The sequence below is a fragment of the Homo sapiens genome, chromosome 13 (assembly GCF_000001405.40).
Source record: "Homo sapiens chromosome 13, GRCh38.p14 Primary Assembly".
Classification (NCBI taxonomy): Eukaryota; Metazoa; Chordata; class Mammalia; order Primates; family Hominidae; genus Homo; species Homo sapiens.
The window spans coordinates 80,894,363-80,915,368 of record NC_000013.11 but is presented as its reverse complement, the minus strand read 5'-3'; the positions used below and the strand labels follow the sequence as shown (position 1 = coordinate 80,915,368).

Sequence of the window (21,006 nt, the reverse complement as noted above, 5' to 3'; positions counted from 1 at the left end):
GCAATACTATGTTGAATAGGAATGGTGAGAGAGGGCATCCTTGCCTTTTGTAGGGTTTCAACGGGAATGCTTCCAACTTTTGCCCATTTAATATAATATTGGCTGTGGGTTTGTATCACAGGATTTTTTGAATTTTCTATTGTTCTCTCCACTTAGTTTTTGTTCTTGCCTCTGGTTTTATGGTTATTGATTAATTTTTTTAGAATTCAAATAGAATTCAAATATCTTCCCTTTTTTTCCCAAAATGTTAGCCAAAGTCAGCTTAAAAATGCAACCAAATAACCTTAAATGAATCAGAAATGAGTGTAAAATAATGGGATATAGGCAACAGACTGAGAAAAATGTGCCATATTTGCAATTATCTGTTCTAGTGCAAGTGAAAGAATGTTTCATTGTTTCATTTATTTTCTAGAATGAAAATTAATAGGACAAAGCACAATAGTGAAAAATTGAATATTTGGAATCAAAGGACCACAAGATAAGGTAGCAACTTGTAGCAGGCAGTGGTGAATAACCTGAAGTTGAGAATGGATGTCCCTAAGGGCACAGATAAGAAGTCAATAAACATGCTGAAAAGGTCTCCTAAGCCTCATAGTATGAAGCTGAGATTGATGAAAACAAAAGGAAATCTGATTATCAAAACGTTTGTCATAGTATAATATTAGTTAATTTTAGGGCCTACAAAATTACTACCTTGACTGAGAAAGACTGAGATAATTGAAATGAGGATACACTTGAAAATTCAAGAGAGTATGAGTGACAGAATTCTTTAATCATTTAAAAGTACACACCAAAAAATCTCTGTAATAGAGTGAGAGAGGTGGAGAGTATTAGGAGAGATGACTGGAGGACAAATTGTGCACGCTTTGTGAGCATATATTTTTGACTTTGTGAATGAGATGGTTTTGAGCAGACAAATGACACTACTTGACTCACTCTTTAATAGGATTCCTTTTGATGTTCTGTTGCAATACATGGAAGGAGAGACAGATTGAAAGTAGGAAGACCAGTTAGGAGAACTCATGAAACATGCAACAGTGGTTTGAATTAATTTAATAGCAATAAAACTAGTGAAAAATGGTTATACCATAATACATTTTAGAAACAAAATCAGTTGCTTTTGAGTTGATACATATGAGTTTTGAGTAAATGAGGATGATCCCAAGGTTTTGGGCCTGGGAAACAACCTGAACAGAAGAGTCTGTAGCTAGAAATGAGGAATTCTGCTAGATGAGCAGCTTCTGCTGGTGAGTAAGTGGTACTTTGAGGTTCTGTGTTGGGCTTGTTAATTTTGTAGTACTCCAGACAATTACATGACCAAGACAAATAGGCAGAAGTTTCAAGATGGAGATATAAATACAGGAGTCATTAGTATATAGATCATATAATCCTAATAAAAAACACTTCAGGACTAAGTCTCCATAACTATCCATACACAGCAGTTAATTATGTAATGGTTAAGTTGATGTTCATCTATATGAATTTGAAATCCTCTACTGTGGTCAGAAACCAATTTATGTCTTTTGAGTAATAAGAAATCACCAGGTAGGGCATTCCCACACAGATCTGGGCACTTGAGGAAATCTGAAGAACCAGACTCCTGGCCTCACAGAAGTTACTCTTACCATGTGACTTTTGTCTCAATGGTTATAAGATGATAATTCCCATTTCAGCCTCATATTGAATTCCAGACAAGAGAAGAAGAAAGAAGTATGGGACCAAATTCAAGAAAGCAAAACTTTCTCAAAAATACCTACCAGACTTTGATAAATGTCATTCACTAAATATATGTATTATATGGCCATGTGTAACTATAAAAGATTTTTTTAAAATGTAATACTTTAGATGGAATTCACATATGGAAGAAAAGCGGGAGGCTCGTTGCTGTATGAACAACTAGAAATATTGCCAAAAAACATATTGAATTTTAAAGGGAGTGAGAGGAAGTCATAATCCCCTGGGAGTGGCAATCAGAATCATTTGGAATGGTTTTCCATACTATATACGCATTAACTTATTCATTATATTTGAGTTATTGTTCTAGATGGAACCTTTTCTTTTTGAAATAGTAGTCATTCCTAAGGCATATAGAAGCATCACATATATTAAAAGCATTAGACTAGATCTCAAAACTTTACAAACGCAAAAATATATACTTACTATATTAAATAGAGCAACAGATTGTGCTTTTTAGACACTTTCACTGTAATAGATGCCATGGTAACCAATCTCTACCTGTTGTTAAATATTACTTCTGTTCCATCTTTTATGTTCTTGATGAAAGCATATTTTTGCACTGTCATTATGTGCCCTGTGAGTATATATTAATATATCCCCATCTAGCTACAGAACTATTTCCCAACCTTGTATTAGAAAAGGCAGCACGCTGGTTCTTAGAAAAGAAAAAAAAATCAAAGCATCTATCTTCTAAATTACATAATCTCTTTGAATTGGCTTTCTTACAACATTCACAGCACATGCACCATACACACACAAGCTAGAGTTAACCTTTAGATTCTAAAGAGAACTATCATAACTGTAAAGGGAAATGCATCTTGTAGAAACTTGTATCTGTGAAACAAAAGAGAAAGTATTGTGTTTTTAAAGTAGATTTTCTTTCCACCAATGACTCATTAAATGACCTACTTCCCAAAGAGGATATGAAGTTTCATTGGTTAAGAAAAAAATGGAAATCTCCTTTCTAGTGCATAGAACTGTGATATTCCAAGTTGTTATATAGAAATGAAGTACAGAATGGGAGAAAATTTTTGCAATCTATCCATCTGACAAAGGGCTAATATCCAGAATCTACAAGGAACTTAAACAAATTTACAAGAAAAAAACAATCCCATCGAAAAGTGGGTGAAGGACATGAACAGACACTTCTCAAAAGAAGACATTTAGGCAGCCAACAAACATATGAAAAAAAAAACTCATCATCACTGGTCATTAGAGAAATGCAAATCAAAACCACAATGAGATGCCAACTCACGCCAGTTAGAATGGCAATCATTAAAAAGTCAGGAAACAACAGATGCTGGAGAGGATGTGGAGAAATAGGAATGCTTTTATACTGTTGGTGGGAGGGTAAATTAGTTCAACCATTGTGGAAGACAGTGTGGTGATTCCTCAAGTATCTAGAACCAGAAATACCATTTGACCCAGCAATTCCATTACTGGGTATATACCCAAAGGATTATAAATCATTCTACTATAAAGACACATGCACACATATGTTTACTGCAGCACTACTTACAATAGCAAAGACTTGTTCCCATTGATGGGAACAAATGCCCATCAATGATAGACTGGATAAAGAAAATGTGGCACATATACACCATGGAATACTATGAAGCCATAAAAAAGGATAAGTTCATGTCCTTTGCAGGGACATGGATGAAGCTGGAAACCATTATTCTCAGCAAACTAACACAGAAACAGAAAACCAAACACTATGTTTTCACTCATAAGTGGGAGATGAACAATGAGAACACATGGATACGGGGAGCAGAACATCACACACCAGGGCCTGTCAGGGGTTGGAGGCTAGGGGGAGGGATAGCATTAGGAGAAATACCTAATGTAGATGACGGGTTGATGGGTGCAGCAAACCACCACAGCACATGTATACCTATGTAACAAACCTGCACATTCTGTACATGTATCCCAGAAGTTAAAGCATAATAATAAAAAAAAAATGAAACGAAATGGCTTTGCATATTTGACAGATATGTGCCAGGCACTGGAAATATACAGTCTGACTACAGTTTTGAAAGAATACAATTTCTAATCTCATACTTTTTGAAATGAAAAGTGTTTACGCTGGATGAAATTTCTTCCTGATACAAAATAATCTATATTACTTTTAACACACTTAATTGTTGTGAGAAAATCCTTCCTTGTTTTTCTGTATTCTAATGACATTTATAGGAGAAGTTATGGTTAATAAAAATGGTAAACATTTTTGAGCACTTAGTCTTGTATTACATATACATAGGTTATACATGAGCATGTATTATTTCATTTCAACTTCTAAAATCCCCTATGAGATAGACATTGTTGTTGTCTCCGTTTTACAAATTTGGAAACTAAGGCTGAAAATCATGAAGATACTGATTCTTGATGACACAGTAATAGGTTCATCTTATATAAGAAACACTCCTCCTCATCAGAACCCTAGCTTTTAACCACTTCACTTCTGTTTTCACATCTATTTTTTGATGTATTTATTGTTATTGTTATATTGTGTTTCTTTGCAAACAAGCTTAATTTCTGCCACCACAGACCATTAGTTCATTGTGTCAGCCTACTACATGGCAAAAATGGAGCTAAGTGCAATGCCCAACAATGCTTAAGATAAAACCTGCCTGTGCACCTTCTGAGTGGGGGAAAAGGCAAGCATAAAGACAATCGTGACTGATACAAGTTCTTATGGGCTACATTTGTCCCGGTCTATCAGAGGGCACAAAATCCAGACTTAGATAGGTTCAGAATGGCTTAATGGAGGAATGATGTCTAAAGTAACACATGAGAAAAGAGTTGGCATTTTCCAGAACTCCTACTTATGCAGCATGCAGAGAGTTTCCCTCCACACATATAACCTGTCTTATAAATTATTTCATTTATTATTTCTTCATTTGTACCTCTTTGGTACATTTGTGACCTAATATAAGGCTTGATTTCCAGAAGTCAACATTAATTTCAACTCTCTCTCTTCCAAAATGTAATCTCAGTCTGCAAGAGTCCCTGTTATAAGGGAGTAATACAATGTTGTGAATACATACCCCTCTTGCCTGCGTCCCCTTTCCCTAGAATCTCTCCCTAACTTGTTTCTTCTTCTCTCTTAAACCTCTTAAACAGACTCAACATTCCATTTCCTATGTCCATGCAGACATGTTCAAAATGAAGTTCAAAATGATTTACCAAACCTATTTTTGAATGTCATGTGATTCAAGCCCCATATTGTGCAATATTACCAGAATAATAGATTAAAATATAAATATCTTAGTGCCGTGTCAATTCTCTGCACATATGTTAAAAGCTACTTTCGAAGATATATTCTATCACTTTATTTTTTTTCCTATAACCTTGGATGGAGCCATTGTTGTCTCCCATGGAAAATCCATTCAACATTTCTTTATGTTCCTGATGCACTAATAACGAATTTTATTTTCCTCATTCTAACACATTTAGTGAAATTATCCCATTATCCCTTAATGCATGTCAAAATCCCTCTGAAGCTTTCTACAAAAGTAAAGTTAAAGCTAAAAAGGATCTTAAAGTGCATTTAGACTAGATTATTTTTATTTTAGGCTAGTATATTTTATTTTGCAGATGAGGACAGTGTGATTTAAAAATTAAATAATTTATTCATAGTCCCAAAGCTTTTACATGGCAGACCTAGAGCTGAAAGTAACTTCTGGATTTTCTTATATAGTAAAATATTCATTACACCACCTGCCTACTTACTACTGGAACTTGTTCCCAACTTGTGAAATAAAGAGAAGGATTAAGGTTTCTCACATACAGTTCCTGGATTTCTATCTCACTGACAATATTTTTAATGCAATACTTTTGGCTCTATATTTAATTCTTATGGGAAGTTATCTGTGGATAACATCTGGTCAACTAAACACGAAATAAAAAACAAAAAAAGGAATAAATAATCTTGCAATTTACAATGACATTTTAAGACAACACTGGACATAAATAATTGTTTTCTTGCAGTTTTTTTCAGAATCTTGATTCCATTTAATAGGTTTAGAGAAAGTGAATGTGTGGTACACATTTTAGACTATGTTAATATTCATAAACTATTGCAATTACCTTTTGAGTACTTTTTCTTATTATAATAATGTGCCTAAATTTACTATAATTTACTTTACTTTCAAACTCACATGTGTTTAAAACATTTCCTCAGAATAATAAGAAAACTGAATTGAGAGGTATTATATATTGTTAGATAAGTCACTAACTTTTCTCAGTCTGAGTGTATTAGTTCTCACATTGCTATAAAGACATACCTGAGACTGGGTAATTTATAAAGAAAAATGGTTTAATCTGCTCACAGTTCTGCAGACTTTCCAGATTTCTGCTTCTGGAGAGGCCTCAGGAAACTTACAATCAGGGCAGAAGATGAAGCAGAAGCAGGTACATCTTCGCATGGCTAGCAGGAGAGAGTAAAGGGATAAGGAAGGTGCTACACACTTTCAAACAACCAGATCTCATGAGAATTCTATCATGAAAACAACAAAGGGGAAGTCCACCACCACGATTCAATCACCTCCCACCAGGCCCCTCCTTCAACACTGGGAATTACAACTGGACATGAGATTTGGGTGGGGACACAGAGTCAAGCCATGTCACTGAGTTACATCATTTATTTAAAATAATAATAATAATTCATAAATATGTGTGAGGATTAATCAACAATGTAAGTGCATGTTAATTTCTGAACATATATAGAAAATATCAGGACTTATTATTGAACAGCTGCTTTCCCCAAAATTCTGTACCCACACAAGGAACTACACAATTCTACACATTTTTTTTCTTTGCTCTAGAATTTAATGTTAACACCTGGGAAGCCTCCTTTCTCCATCTTCTGAAAAAGAATTCAGAAGTTCCATCACTTTAGTCCAACAGCACATTATCTAGTCCTTTATTTAGGAAATCCTTTAATTATTTCTGTGTGTATCTCTCTCTTTGGATTAAGAGCTTTGTAATGACTTATTTATATTGTATTTGTCTCTGTGTTTCAATGTAAAACTGCAAGAACTAGGTGCCTAAAGCAGACATTATAGGTGATCTAACAACATATTTATAACCTCTCACTTCTTGCAGATGCAAATTTGTATTTAGTGCCTTTTCTCCCATTTATATTCTGAAGTTAATATTTATTTCAATATTCATTTTACTTAATTATAGTCACAGTTCCATTCCACCCATTAAAGCAAGCAAAAACAGTAGTAGAACTAAGGAAAAGCACATTAAATTTCTTTTTTTTTCCTTCTAATCCAGAACAGCTCTTTACTTTCCACATTGGTACATTCTCTGGTCTTAAGTTCCAATAAAAATTCTGTAAGCTATGGAGAGACTTTTGAAGAGTGATCAATGCAAGTTGGTATAGCAATCCAAAAGACTGGAATAGAGTACATAAAAAGGAAGTTATCATATTTTTCATCAATAAGCTATTTAACCTTGGAATGTTAGTTCTAAATTTTATAACTTTAAATACTGTTAATATATCAGTCAAATTATCCTTAGTCATATGAATAGTTATAGCACATTCACATATTCACTGCTACTCCACTTTGTTCTTTACACATATTCTCATTTAATCTTCATAACTACCCTATGAGTCAGGTGCTAAATTATTCTCATTTTACTGATGAGAAACTATGGCTGAAATAAGTTGGAAAAACTGGCCAAATCCATATGGCTGTAAGTGATAAAACTGGATGGAGCCAATATTTAACTCAGGTCTCTGATTCCAAATTTCAAGCTCTCAATCACCGTTTTTTATTTTCTTAAATATCAGTATAAAAAAGTATGTTGATTAAATGTTCTGAGAAACTTGTAAAATATATGCAGTCTTTTAAAATAAGGTATTTTAACTTACATTTTCTAAAAATTTAGGCTTGGCCAGGTACAGTCTGTAGTGCGGCCAGCACTTTGGGAGGCCGAGGCAGGCAGATTGCTTGAGTCCAGTATTTTAAGATCAGCCTGGGCTACATGGTGAAACCCTGTCTCTACAAAAAAATACAAAAACTAGCCAGGTGTGGTGGTGTGCACCTGTAGTCCCAGCTACTCAGGAGTTTGAGGTGGGAGGATGGCTTGAGCATGGGAGGTTGAGGCTAGAGTGAGCCATGACTGCACCACTGCATTTCAGCCTGGGTGACAGACCATGGTCCTATCTCAAAAAATAATAAACACATAAATAAATAAACTTTAATCTCCCCTCAGATGGCCTTCTACACACCTACTTGTGTTGATGTTTCCTTCACTTTAACTAATTTAATACAAAGTATGAAAATGGAAAATCTACAGCAAAAAGTAATGAAGTCTTGGCTTAGTTATTTGTTCAAAACTTCTACTTTTAACTTCTCTAAATTTATGTTTTAAAATACTTTACTCAGCATCCCAAGATCATCATCTCTAGCTGTAGTTCATAGTAACATGGGGTTTAACAATTGAAAGAAGTTTATTGATCAGCTATTTCAACCTTCCTCTTTTTTGCCATGGAAGGAAGTGAAACCCTAGAGAGGTGATGAGCACACTGAGAAGTACAGGAGCTGTGACTGGGCCCCAACTTCCCTGCTCAAGGACAGTGTGGATCTGAGATGCTGTCACTCTGGCTTCCCCTGAGAGATGATGGGCAGCCTCACTGAGAGTACTGAGCACTGAACGCTAGCATGTGCTCAGTGTTTCAGAGCCCCATTCCACATTTTCACAAAGGAGCCACAGATTTGAAATGTTATATTCTGAAAAACGACAGTAAAAGTTGGGGACCAAAAGGGTAAGAAGTAACATTGATAATAACTAGGAGTGATACATTTTTAAAACAGTGTTTATTTGAAATAAGTTCTAGAGTTTTCGAAAACCTTTTGCTTTTCCTAACATGTAATGAAATCCTATACCAAACCAATGAATCAGAACACATATTTTTATACCATTTGTTTTTAACAAATGAGAAAACTAGGACTTTCTCCAGGTAATACAAGCAATAAGTTGCTTGAGCCCTAAAATGACTTTGTTTACTACCTGTTCACCTCATAAATCATCTCTACTTCATATTCACTTGCTCAAGACACAGAAATTTAGCGATCCTTCTTAGCTTGAGACCTTAAAAGAAGTGTTAGAATATTAAAGCCTCCAATTATTAAATATTTCCTGAGGTACTATGCAGGCATTCATAATAGCTGCCTACTGAGTCAATTTTGCTACTTACTATTGCCTTTCACAGATAAGATTATTTAATGTGGGTACATATTTCTTTCAAATATGCATTCCTAATGATGGCAAAAATAAAAAATATATAGTTATGGAAAAAATATCAAAGAAAAGAGTAATAAAAATTGAGTTTCTTATGACTTAGTAAACCAGAGAAATACCATATTTTATGCTAATTGACAAAATAGGGCTTTTAAAATTGTTGTTTTTCTTGGACATGTAGCAATGTGCTTCCTAATGAAAAGAGAATGATTAACTCCATCTTTAATTGTCCAACCATTCTGCAAATCTCTTCTATCTTAGCCTCTAGGAGAAATGGCTTTACATGAATGAACTCTACTCTGGCTTTAGAAGTTAAGCTGAATATTTTTGATATATAAGGGAAGTTGGAAATAGAAACAGTAATGCTTTTTTATTTACTTTACTGGATTTTTCAAGCTTTAGTTTGTGTCTCTATATCAAGTAACAAAGTAAGGCCAGAAAAATGAGAACTGCACAGTAGCATCAGAAAGGCAGCCCAATGTCAAACATACTTGAACCTTGATGCCAGCCATCTGGTGGACCATTCAAGGTTGTTTTGGGGAAGGGAGCTGTTAAGTATCCATCATTTCCTGGCTCTATGACTCTGGCAAAGTCAGCATCTCAGTTTCTTAGTTTCTATTCTCTTGGACAAAATCTTAGATGGTGACATAAGAGGGCTTTCACAGTGCCATTTTTTTGATGACAGACCTACTGCCTCTGAGAAGCTCTGTGGCACAGAGACTGGAACACAAATAACTTCATTTGACAACCAATTCAACTACTTACCACTGTAAGTTGCAGCTCAGTATCTAGAACATGGAGTCTATTCACCACAATGTAAATACATGACTAAAATGTGGGAAAGTAGAAATGAAAATAACTTAATTTAACTAACCCTCATACACACTCAGAATATATGCTTTCCATTTTATTTCTCTAACACAATGAATAAATTTGTGAAAGTAAAGCTATTCTATTTCTCTTCATGTCATCTTTCTATCTACCTAAATGGATTGTTGTTAAAAAAAAAAAAGAGAGAGAGATAATACACACAAAGTGCATAGCACAAAACTTGAAAAATAGCTAATTTCCAGTAAATGGTAGTTTGTCTTCCCATTGCTTGAGAACAAAGTTCAAACTATTCAGAATGCTTGTTTAATCTATTTTCCCTGTATTCACTTTCTTGCAGTCCCACAAAATGTCTCTCAAATCCTAGAGTCTTACCATTCTGAATCCATTCATGTATCTGGGATTTTCCATTATTGCTCACTTCATATAAAATGCTGCCAACACAACTCACACCACTGGCACAAAGGTGCTTTTGACTCAAGATCCTTGTTCTTTAAATTTCTATGTTCCTCATATGTCTATGATATTTACTTGGCACTCCCTTTACCATTCACTTTGGGCTTGTACATTATTTGCTATATGAAGGTGTTTTTTCACCTGAAAGTAGGTATGCCATGTCTTACTATTCTATCTCACACAGCAAAATTGCTTTTAAAACTAGGTATGGGTATAAGTGAAATTATTATTACCATCACTACTATCACCACTACTACCACAGTCACTACTGTGTAGTTCAGATAGATTTTCTACATCACTTATGATGTAGAATATTTATAAGAATTCAAAATTAAATTTATGCCTTAACACTGAGCTATCACAAAGAATATCTAAAGCTTCTTTACAAAACGTAAATTCATTTGAAAAAAAAAACAAAACATGCTAAGCTCATAAAAGCAAAACTTCAGACATTAGACCACATTCCTGAGTAAACAAAGTGTCCTTTTCTCATCTTTGTTTACAGCAAGCAATTCTAGACTAAACTTTGTTGAGTAGGAAGATATTGATGGTCTTTTGCTGTACACAAACCATATATTTATTGTAAACACAATGAGGGAGGTAGGAAGTAACATCACCAAAAACTACACAAAAAAGTTTACTGACCACTACATATTTTGACAAAGCAGATAATTAGATTAACAAATGTTAAAGACATTTTTACATCTAATGAGATAGGCTAAATTAAAAATGATATAACATCATTTCTGACTTTGCAATATCAAATGATAAACAGATTTAATTCTCAACCAGAAACAGAAGCTCATAGAAGTTCTGCTTTAAAAAATAATCACTATGTTTGTATATATAATTAGTAAATGACCTATAGTACTATCCAGAGTCATTTGAGTTTTAATATTTTGAAGCTAAGGAAAGGAGTCAGTTTGTACAAGGTTTGACCTGACAGAATGAGGTAAAAGCAGTGCTATTGTGAAATCCAGATATATATTTGGATTTTGCACAAAATTCAGACAAGTTAGAGAAAGACATTAATCATGGCTTTATACCTAAAAAATGCACACACTTAAAAGAATTTGCTGTTGCTCAATATTTGTAAGAAAAAAAGGGGCTAAATATACTTTACTACAAACAATACTATATAGAAGTCTTATAGGTAAACACAAATGTAAATGAATAAATCTACATGATTGCTAGTGCACTAAAAGGAAACAAAATCTCAAAACCCAGAAAGATATCTAATACACTAATATTTTTGAAGGATTTATTATTATTTTGGTAATGTGGACAAACCCAAATTATTCATCACTTTTGTAGCACACATCAAAATATTGAATTGCTTGTTTTTTTTGGATTATGTGCCAATTTTGGTATCAACAACATTTTTTTCATAAAAATAATGCAAATAGGCATTGATGTCAGTGACTTCATATCCCTGTCTTGACCATTTATCTGATAAAAACACCCTTTTCCAGGTTACCTACAAAACAGAGTTTATGACTCTTCCCCTAAAAAATAAAAATGCTGCAAGTTTTTCTGTTACCAAAGACTGAGAAGCATCCAGGGTTTCTTTCTTGTTTTTAATAGTGAAATTGTTCAATATCACCTGACTTTTTCAAAACCCCCTACAGTTAATATTACATGTACAATTTAAAAAAGGAGAGCAAGCCTAAAGAAAAAAGAAGAGAAAAAGAAAAAAGAAATAAGAGAGATGTTACAGCTTAACATAATTTGTAACACAATGTAAATATTAGAAGACGTGTTTCTATTAAAAATGTGCTGTATTTTACATGCATATTATTTTAAGAAAATATCTATTATATATCCAAACAAGAGAAGTAAAGGTTGATAATAAATCTATCACAGAGACTGGTTTCATACAATTTCCCCACCTTCAAAAGCTACCGAGAGAGAGAAAAAAATTATCTCCTTAATGTTTCAGCTGACGAAATTTAATGTCAATATTTCAAATTTAGTAATATAATAAATTAAGAAGAATTTATGACCAAAGAAAACATCAATACAGGGTTTTTTAGATTAAGATACAAACTAGTGGTTAACCAAATACATAAATTTTAAAAGATACTGTCAAATCACAGTTTTAATCGTCATATTATGTAAAATAAAACAAACCAATAAAACAGCAGGTTAAATAATTACGTCAAATCATCTAACATAAACTAATTCATTACTCAATTCTGTTAATCATACCACAGTCAAACATTATTACAACTTTGGCAAACAATAAATTGTTTCCTCTTTGCTTTCAAGTTAGCTCTCGATTTTAGAAAATTAGAGTTCTCTTGTTTCCTAAGTTTCTGTAAACGCTATGGAAATTTAAATTTTCCAACCCGGTGCGATGGCTCATGCCTGTAATCCCAGTATATTAGGAGGCTGAGACAGTGGATCACGTGAGCCCATGACTTCAAGACCAGCCTGGGCAACATGGCGAAATCCCACTTACACACACATACACACATATACACACACACATGCACACACACAAGAAAATTAGCTGGGCCTGGTGGCGCATACCTGTAGTCCCGGCTACTCGGGAGGTGGAGATTGGAGGATCGCTTGAGCCCAGGAGGTGGAGGCTGCAGAGAGCCAAGATTGCACCACTGCACTCCTGCCTGGGTGAGGGCAAAAGACTGAGACTCTGTCTCAAAAAATAAAGAAATAAGTAAGTAAGTAAAAAATAAATTTTCCTAGCAAATAAATTTTTTAATTCCAAAGTATTCTTAAAATGTTCCAGGCATCACACTACGTTAATATGTCTGACGCGAAATGCAAAAGGATGAGGTTGACATGATAAAATTATTTTCAATTCTTTTTTCTATTTTTAAAAAGTATTTAAAATTTTTTAAAAATTAAATTTGCATTTTTTATTTAATTTTATTTAAATTAGCATATCTCAAGAAATATATTTATATTTTCCAGAAACCAAGCAAGCAGCATTCCAAGTAGAAGAAAGTGAGCTGTTTTTGACAAACCTGATGAAAATTAATATTTTATCTAAGCAATTTTTGAAAAGCATGTCTAAATAAAACAAAATAGGATCTGTTGAGCATTTTAGAAACTGTAACAGTTACAAAAAATCAATTCACTCTTAAGACATATTACAATGTACCATTTTCATAAATGTTTCAGTACATGCATATTTTTCTCTTCCACTAAACTTACTGAAGTAGTATCAATAGAAAACTAGCAGATTTATGCTGAAACTTCCTCATGCTTTTCTACGTACCACCCAGTAACACCACCCAGTAACAATCTACACCAAGCTTTAGGAAATTAGATTAAAGGTGTTGACAACTGGATAAATCATCTCCAAATAATTGAGACATAGTACAATTTAAAAAAAATGGAAAGAAAATGAAAACCTATTAAACATCTGTCCGCAATCAACAAACCTGTAGCCAAGTAAAAGGTCATGGCATTTATTTCCTTGCTGCTCATCTATGTCTTTTGGACAGTGATACAAATATTCACATGTGTTTTACTTGTTTGCTTAGCTAGATATTGAATGGCATGTAGAGGCAAATAAATAAATTTACAAATAATGTTTAAAAATTATTATGTAATTGAATATACAAGTTGCTTTTGTGATTTCTTGGTCAAACATAAAATCGATCAAGCAAGGTCTGCAAACTAGAATAATTTTTATCTTGTTGTTTGAGAAAAATTGAGACTCCACCATGGCTGCACTAAGAGGAATTTTAACATGTTGTCACTAAGCCAAAGCAACGCCGGAACAGCTCTGTCTGTAGTCTCAGGCCAGGGAACGTTTTCCATTCTATAACTAATTCCCCAGATGCATGATCATACCTCACACACACAGAAAACAGAACAATAAGCCCTTAAGTATGCTTGCGGGCAGTTTTTCACAAGGGCAAGATTACAGGAGAACATGCCTGCTTAAAGAATTATTCCTTTGTTTTCCCCGCTTGTTCTCAAATTATCCATTTCCAATAACACTAAAATTTGTGGAAAATATCCCTCAGATGGTCAGTTTATTTGGAAACCCTTTTACCTGTGTTTGGACACTAAGTTTTCCCAAGCTCAAAATTCAAGTGTGCTTTAGTATGTTGTATTTGTATTGTTTTGTATTTTTTTTTCCTCCACATACTTTTTGTTTTTGTTTTTGTTTTTTTGGCTGGTGGGACACTCCTCCAGCAAATGGGAGCTTTCTATCTATTGCTGTTATGTTATAGCTAACTGTGAGTCCAAAGAAAAAAACATCTTTTCCTATAACTTCTTAAGTTAATGCTCTAAAAATGAGTAACTTTATCACAGTCTCATGGGGAGGGTGTGCTCTCAGAGCCATCCAGGCATTCTGGGACTTTTGTCAATGTGTTTCTGGAAAGGATGCTTATGAAATAATTCAGATCAACATCCAGGGTTCTTGGAGCAGGCTCCACTTAGACTAGCAGAAATCATTTCTGCCAAGGAAGATGTATTTCCTAGATTTGTAAAAAGCTTTATAAAGAAAATTTTGTTGTAACAGTGACTAATAAAATGTAAAAACCAAAAATAACTCAGCATCTGCAATAAAGAGCTATACCTTTTGGGAAATTTTGAATGTAACTGAGGATCAACCATGTTGTACAACTGTGCGGTTTCTACTCACATAGAACACAAAGTGAATGCTGCCCTTCTATAGCTGGGCAACACGTTGATACTAAACTACATTTTCAGCAAGTAATTTGCAAATAAATAGCAGCAGTTTCCTCTCAGTCACTGTGGTTTTTTGTACATTGAAGTGTTTTGAAAATGTTCATACTCTTCCAAGTTATGATTGATACCATTACATTTTGAAGTCAAAACGCTGCATTTCAGTGAAGTTTCCGGTCACTTAAAGTTATTATTGACAGGGATATATATATATATATATGTATATACACACATACTTAGTACATATATATATAATATATATATTTAGTAATAACAATAAATTTTGTGATAATATATATTAACATGAGTGCACTTAGTATCATATACTACTAAATGAAAATAGCTTTAAAATGCTGTCTAGGGTATAAGCAGCTGTATATATAATGGCCATAGGGCCCAGAGGACAAACAGATTTTGGCATGATGGAAACTGAGCTCAGGTAAGTCATCTAAAGGATTTAAAATTTGTTTACTTTGTTCCTCAGGATTCAGGTTGTGGTCAAACTAATTAAATATGCTGATAAAAATAAATGTTTATGCAAATTAATTATCAAAAAACTATAAATAATCAAAATGTCCCAAAATGGCCCATCAAATGCCATTGACAGTCTCTGACTCTAAGACATTTATATTTAAAATATAAATCAGAGAAGCTTAAAGGCTGAAGTCAAGTGTCAAAGTCATCTAAGTGGTTAAACATAGATGTCCTTTAGGTTGCATCAATGCCCACTCTGACATGTCTATGAGCAGTAATTCTCTCACTTCACTAACCCTATGTCTAAGATAGGTATGATGATGAAAATGCTTTGTCCAGAACACAAATTCCAAAACACTCAGCAAGACATTGTTTTCTTTTTGAACAGGTTCCAGCAGACATTTTTAGTTTTATTTTTCTCCACTCTCCCAAAATCCATGATTGAAATAACCATAAGTTCTGGTTTGTACAGAACGGTTCCTGGTTTCACTTATTGTCCTGACGTTGTTGTTAATGATGCTCTCTTTAATTCCTAAAAGCTTCCCCACTTCAATAATAAAGTTTTAGCTGCTTTGTTAAGGTATGATTGACGTACTAAGGCTGTAAATATTTAGTATACACAACATGATGTGTTTGGAGATAGGTGTATACCTGTGAAGCCATCAGACCATCATTGTTATCAATACTGTAATCTTACCCAGTATCCTCAAAAATTTCTCCCAGCCCCATTTATTGCTGTTTCTAAAAATAAATTTATTTATTTTTCTTTTTGGAGTATGAGCACTTGACATAAGATCTATCCTCTTAGCACATTTTAAAGCATTTAATACAGTATTATTAATTATAATATTGCTAATAACCAGGCATGTAATCTGTGTTGTACAGTAGATCTCCAGATGTTTATTTTACACAACTGAAACTTTGTACCTTTTCACCCACACCCCCATTTCTCCTTCCTTCCAGCCCCTTGTAATCACCATTCTACTCTCTGCTTATATGTGTTTCATTACTTTAGATTCCATGTATAAGGGAAGCCACGCAGTATTTGTCTCTCTGTGCCTGGCTTATTTCACTTAGCAGAATGTCCTCCAGATTAATTCATGTTGTCAGAAATGGCACAATTTCTTTCCTTTTTAAATAGATAATAAATTACTTTGGAACAACATATCTCACACCCCACCTTGATTATTTTTACCTTTGTGGTTTTGCATGCTCTGTTTCGACCCTTTTCTCTGTGAAATTCTTTCTGATGTCCTTAACCATCCTACTCTTCAAATCAGAGTCGAGCTGTGAATTAGAGGACATTGGTGAATATGTGATGTTTGTGCTTGCCCAGCGCTGCCCCCCAGCCTTCTTCTGTAATAGTATCCAAAATATCCTTTGTGGGTCCTTGCTTTCTTCAGTCCATGTGACCTTGTCTCCAGATACAGGGCTGAGCATATGACCCAGGCCTGACCATCTGGAACATCCAGGCTTTAATGATTAGTTTGGGCTGGGCGTATGATCCAGATACCAAAAAATAGGGTAGTCCCAGGATTCCCAGCAGTCATCTGCCCACACCAAGGGAAAGCCTACTTTGGAGCAATTCTTCTCTAAGTGTAATCTTTGAACCAGCAGTACCCTAACTTATTAGGTATGAAAATTCTCAGGCCTGACTCTAGACATATTGAAACAAAAACTCTGGAAATGGAAGGCAACAACGAGGTGGTATTGGAGTGTTACAGGGTCACAGAGAAGATCTTCAATTATCAGTTATAGGTTTTAAATTTACCCCAGCTTTTAAAGGAATAGGGTACACTGTTTTTTCTTTACTACTTCCATCTCTCTTTCTTTCTCTTTGACTTCTTCTTTGTCTCTCTCTTTCTCTCCTTCTGACTCCTTCTTTGTCTGTCTCTTTCTCTCTCTCTCTCTGACTCCCTCTTTGTCTCTGTTTCTTCCCCTCTCTCTCTCTGACTTTCTTTCTGTCTTTCCCTTCTGCTGGTCTTCCCCTGTCTCTGCCAGCCACTTACGCTGCTGTTCTCCCCTCTCCTTCCCCTTTTTGATGGCTTCGGCAGTGTAAGACTGCCACCTCCTTGGGCTTTTGCACTGCATGCAATAACTCCATGATTTCCTTGTGGTATTTACTGGGGGTTCCCCCAGAGATTAGGAACTCCCTTTTTCTCCATATTGCAGCATGGGCATGTAGGATTAGATAAGCATACTTGCTATCTGTATACACATTTATTCTGTTTCCCTTTCCCAGTTCTAAGGCTCCGGTAAGTGCCACTAGTTCTGCTAACCGGGCACTGGTTCCTGGGGGAAGAGGCTTACTTTCAAGTATAGTTACATCACTAACTATGGCATAACCTGCCTTTTGTATCCCATTCTCCACAAATGAACTTCCATCGGTACATAGGTTAAGATCAGGATTAGCTAAGGGGACTTCTAAGAGATCATCTCGGGCGGCATAAGTCTGGACTATAATTTGTTGGCAGTCATGCTTGATTGGTTCCCCCTCCTCTGGGAGAAAAGTGGCAGGGTTGAGAGCCACACACATATGTATTTGAAGCACCGGTCCCTCAAGGAGTAGAGCCTGGTATCTAAGTAGGTGGTTGTCTGATAGCTATAAACTTCCTTTGGCACCTAATATGTGATTTACATCATAAGTAGTCCAGACAGTGAGATCCTTTCCTTGTATTATTTTGATAGCTCTGACACTAAGACGGCCACCGCTGCAGCTACCCGTAAACAGTGAGGCCAGCCTTTTGCTACTACAACAATTTCCTTACTTAGGTATGCCAATGGTTGTGGGGTTGTCCCACGAGTCTGAGTAAGGACTCCAAGAGCTATCTCTGTGCTCTCTCTGTGACGTATAAAGAGAATTTTTGTCCTGTGGCAAGGATTAAAGCTGGAGCTCATACTAGGGCCTGCTTTAAGGTTTTGAAGGCTGTTTCTGCCTCTGGTTCCCATTCTACTAGATGAATATTTCCCCTTTGGGTCTCCTTGATTAGAGCATAGAGTGGTCTGGCCATCTTGCTGTACCTGGGGATTCATAGTCGGCAAAAGCCCGTGATTCCAAGGAACTCCCGCAACTGTTTTAATGTCTTAGGGTGAGGATAAGCTAGTATAGACTGTATTCATTCCTTGCTGAGGGCCCTGGTCCCTGTGGCTAAGATTAGGCCTAGATATTTGACCTGCTGTAGGCAAAGCTGGGCCTTCAACCTAGACGCCTTGTACCCTCGATTAGCTAGAAAGTTCAAGAGAAACCCAAGTGGGTTTCCACTGCTGGCTAGGGTGGCCAGCTTTTATTCCCTTATTTGTCCCCGCCCACATCCTGCTAATTGGTCCATTTTACAGATTGCTGATTGGTCCCTTTTACAGAGTGCTGATTGGTCCACTTACAATCCTTTAGCCAGACACAGAGCACTGATTGGTGTGTTTACAATCCTCTAGCTAGACAGAAAAATTCCCCACTTGACCCAGGAAGTCCAGCTGGCTTCACCTTTCATGGGCAACATGGTGAAACCCCATCTCAATAAAAAATACAAAAATTAGCTAGGCCTGGAGGCACGCACCTGTAGTCTCAGCTACTCAGTAGCTTGATGTGGGAGGATGGCTTGAGCCAGGGAGGCAGAGGTTGCAGGGAGCTGAGATCATGCCACTGCACTCCATCCTGGGCAACAAGGTGAGACCCTGTCTCCAAAAACTAAAAATAAAAAAAAGAAACATTAAGAAAAAAAAGTAAACAAAGAGAATCAAGATGGCAAAAACTGTTTCTTAGAACATAATGATAAAAGTAATAAATCTGTGGCAAGACATATAGATAAACTTTTTAAAACAGAGATACAAGTTACAAATAACTAATATCAATATTATTCAGGCATTTAAAGGATAATGAGATAATATAAATAAACATATGCCAACAAATTTGAAATAAATTGCTAGGCAAGTACAACTTTAAAAATGAAATGAAAAAGAAAAACTGAATAGTCCTACAAATTCATTAATCATTCTACTATTTGACCATCTAACTTATCTTTAAATTGTTTTGTAACTATTATGCATTTTTATTTCAGACTCATATGGAACATCCGTGTGTATGTGTATAAATAGTTTATGTAATGTGACAGTTAATGAAAAAAACAGAAGAATAAAGACCAAAGAAACCCATGAAAAGAATGTAAATGATACTACTGGGGCTCTGAAAATAATACCCCAAAATGAAGGCATCAAAAGCAGTTTCTCTCTGACCTTCTCCTGCCCTCCTGTCTCCTGTCTCTTACCCCTCATCCATGCCTGAGGCAAGTCATAGAAACTAAAATCATTTTTCCCTAAAGTCAGCTATCAAGCCTAAAAATATTACTCTGAATTTTCCCCACATTTCTGTGGAACAGCTGGCCATAAAGAAATTAAGACCCTCATTTCAGAGGAGTCCTACCCCATACGTGGGAGGAAGAAATTCTGTACAGAGAGGCCAAGAAGAACCTGAACAAACAGGCCCTGCTAGAATTCTTGAGTCTATCACTGCTAGCTCCTGTCCTTTTCTGTTCAATCACACTTGTACATGGCTGTCCCTGCTTCATTGAACCAAAGCATAAAATTGGATATCTTCCCCTGTATCTCTGGGTCTTCATTCTGGAGGCTCTCATGTCACAGAAAACTATAATCAAATAAATGTGCTAAGTTTTTCTCTAACATGTCTTTTGTTATAGAGGTGTTGGCCATTGCTCTTATGAAGAAGAAAAAGATCACTCCTTTTCTGCCCCTACAATACCATAATCAACAAAAGAAATAATGTCATGAGATGCATGTTGCACAATATTTTTAGTGGTATGAATTTACAAACTGTGAGCCTGCAAATGGAAAACCTGCCATAAAATGCATTAAGTATAAAACTTTGACGTGGGTGGTTCTCATGTGATGTTGCCCATCTGTTCATGAAGCAAAGAAAATCCTTAAAAATCCTTTTAAATAATAAGAAATGCTCTGCAAGACAAAATAGAAGTAGTAAATGAAACCCTTTGTAAGGCTGAATTCTTAAAAGTGGATTTATCTAAACTCAAGTTATAAATCTACATATTTTATAGAAATATATAAGCATTTAAAAAAGTATTTAAGTACACCCAGACTTTACTCCATTATGTGTGTACACACTGAGGTTGCTGTATGCAGTCATATAAAAAGAAGAGGGGGTGGATCTAATTGATGTAAAATAATAAACATGAATAAATTAATTTTAAATTAGAATTTGATGTATAATATACAGTTATGTAAAAAATAAGAAGTGTTATAGTAATTTGTAGATTTTGGTTATGAATATACAAATAAAAAAGCCCAAGTCATCTATATATGTGAATTCCTATGTTTGTCAGATCAAGAGGAAAGTTATGGAGGGACAAACAAGTCTATCAGCATTAACTTGATGAGGAAAAGAAGACTAAAAGGGGTGGGGGAGTCAATCAGATAGAAGATGATTAAATTATGGGTGCCTGTGTTTATTTCCTTTTTTAAATTTTATATTTTTCACTTAATACAAACATCACATGTTAATTTAGTCAGGACATGTTGTCATATGTTTCATGTTAAATGCGATATAAATATCTT

The 21,006-nt window shown here is 35.1% G+C and overlaps 1 long non-coding RNA gene across 1 annotated transcript; it reads right to left on the bottom strand.

Moving 5' to 3' along the window:
• Nucleotides 1–3,641: 3,641 nt before the first annotated feature.
• LOC124903241 (uncharacterized) lies at nucleotides 3,642–19,108 on the bottom strand. Its single transcript, XR_007063927.1, has 4 exons — nucleotides 18,978–19,108; nucleotides 16,619–16,710; nucleotides 12,811–12,934; nucleotides 3,642–6,166 (listed from the first exon to the last, which is right to left on the bottom strand). It is a non-coding gene; the product is annotated as an uncharacterized LOC124903241 (long non-coding RNA).
• Between the last annotated feature and the right edge of the window lie 1,898 nt (nucleotides 19,109–21,006).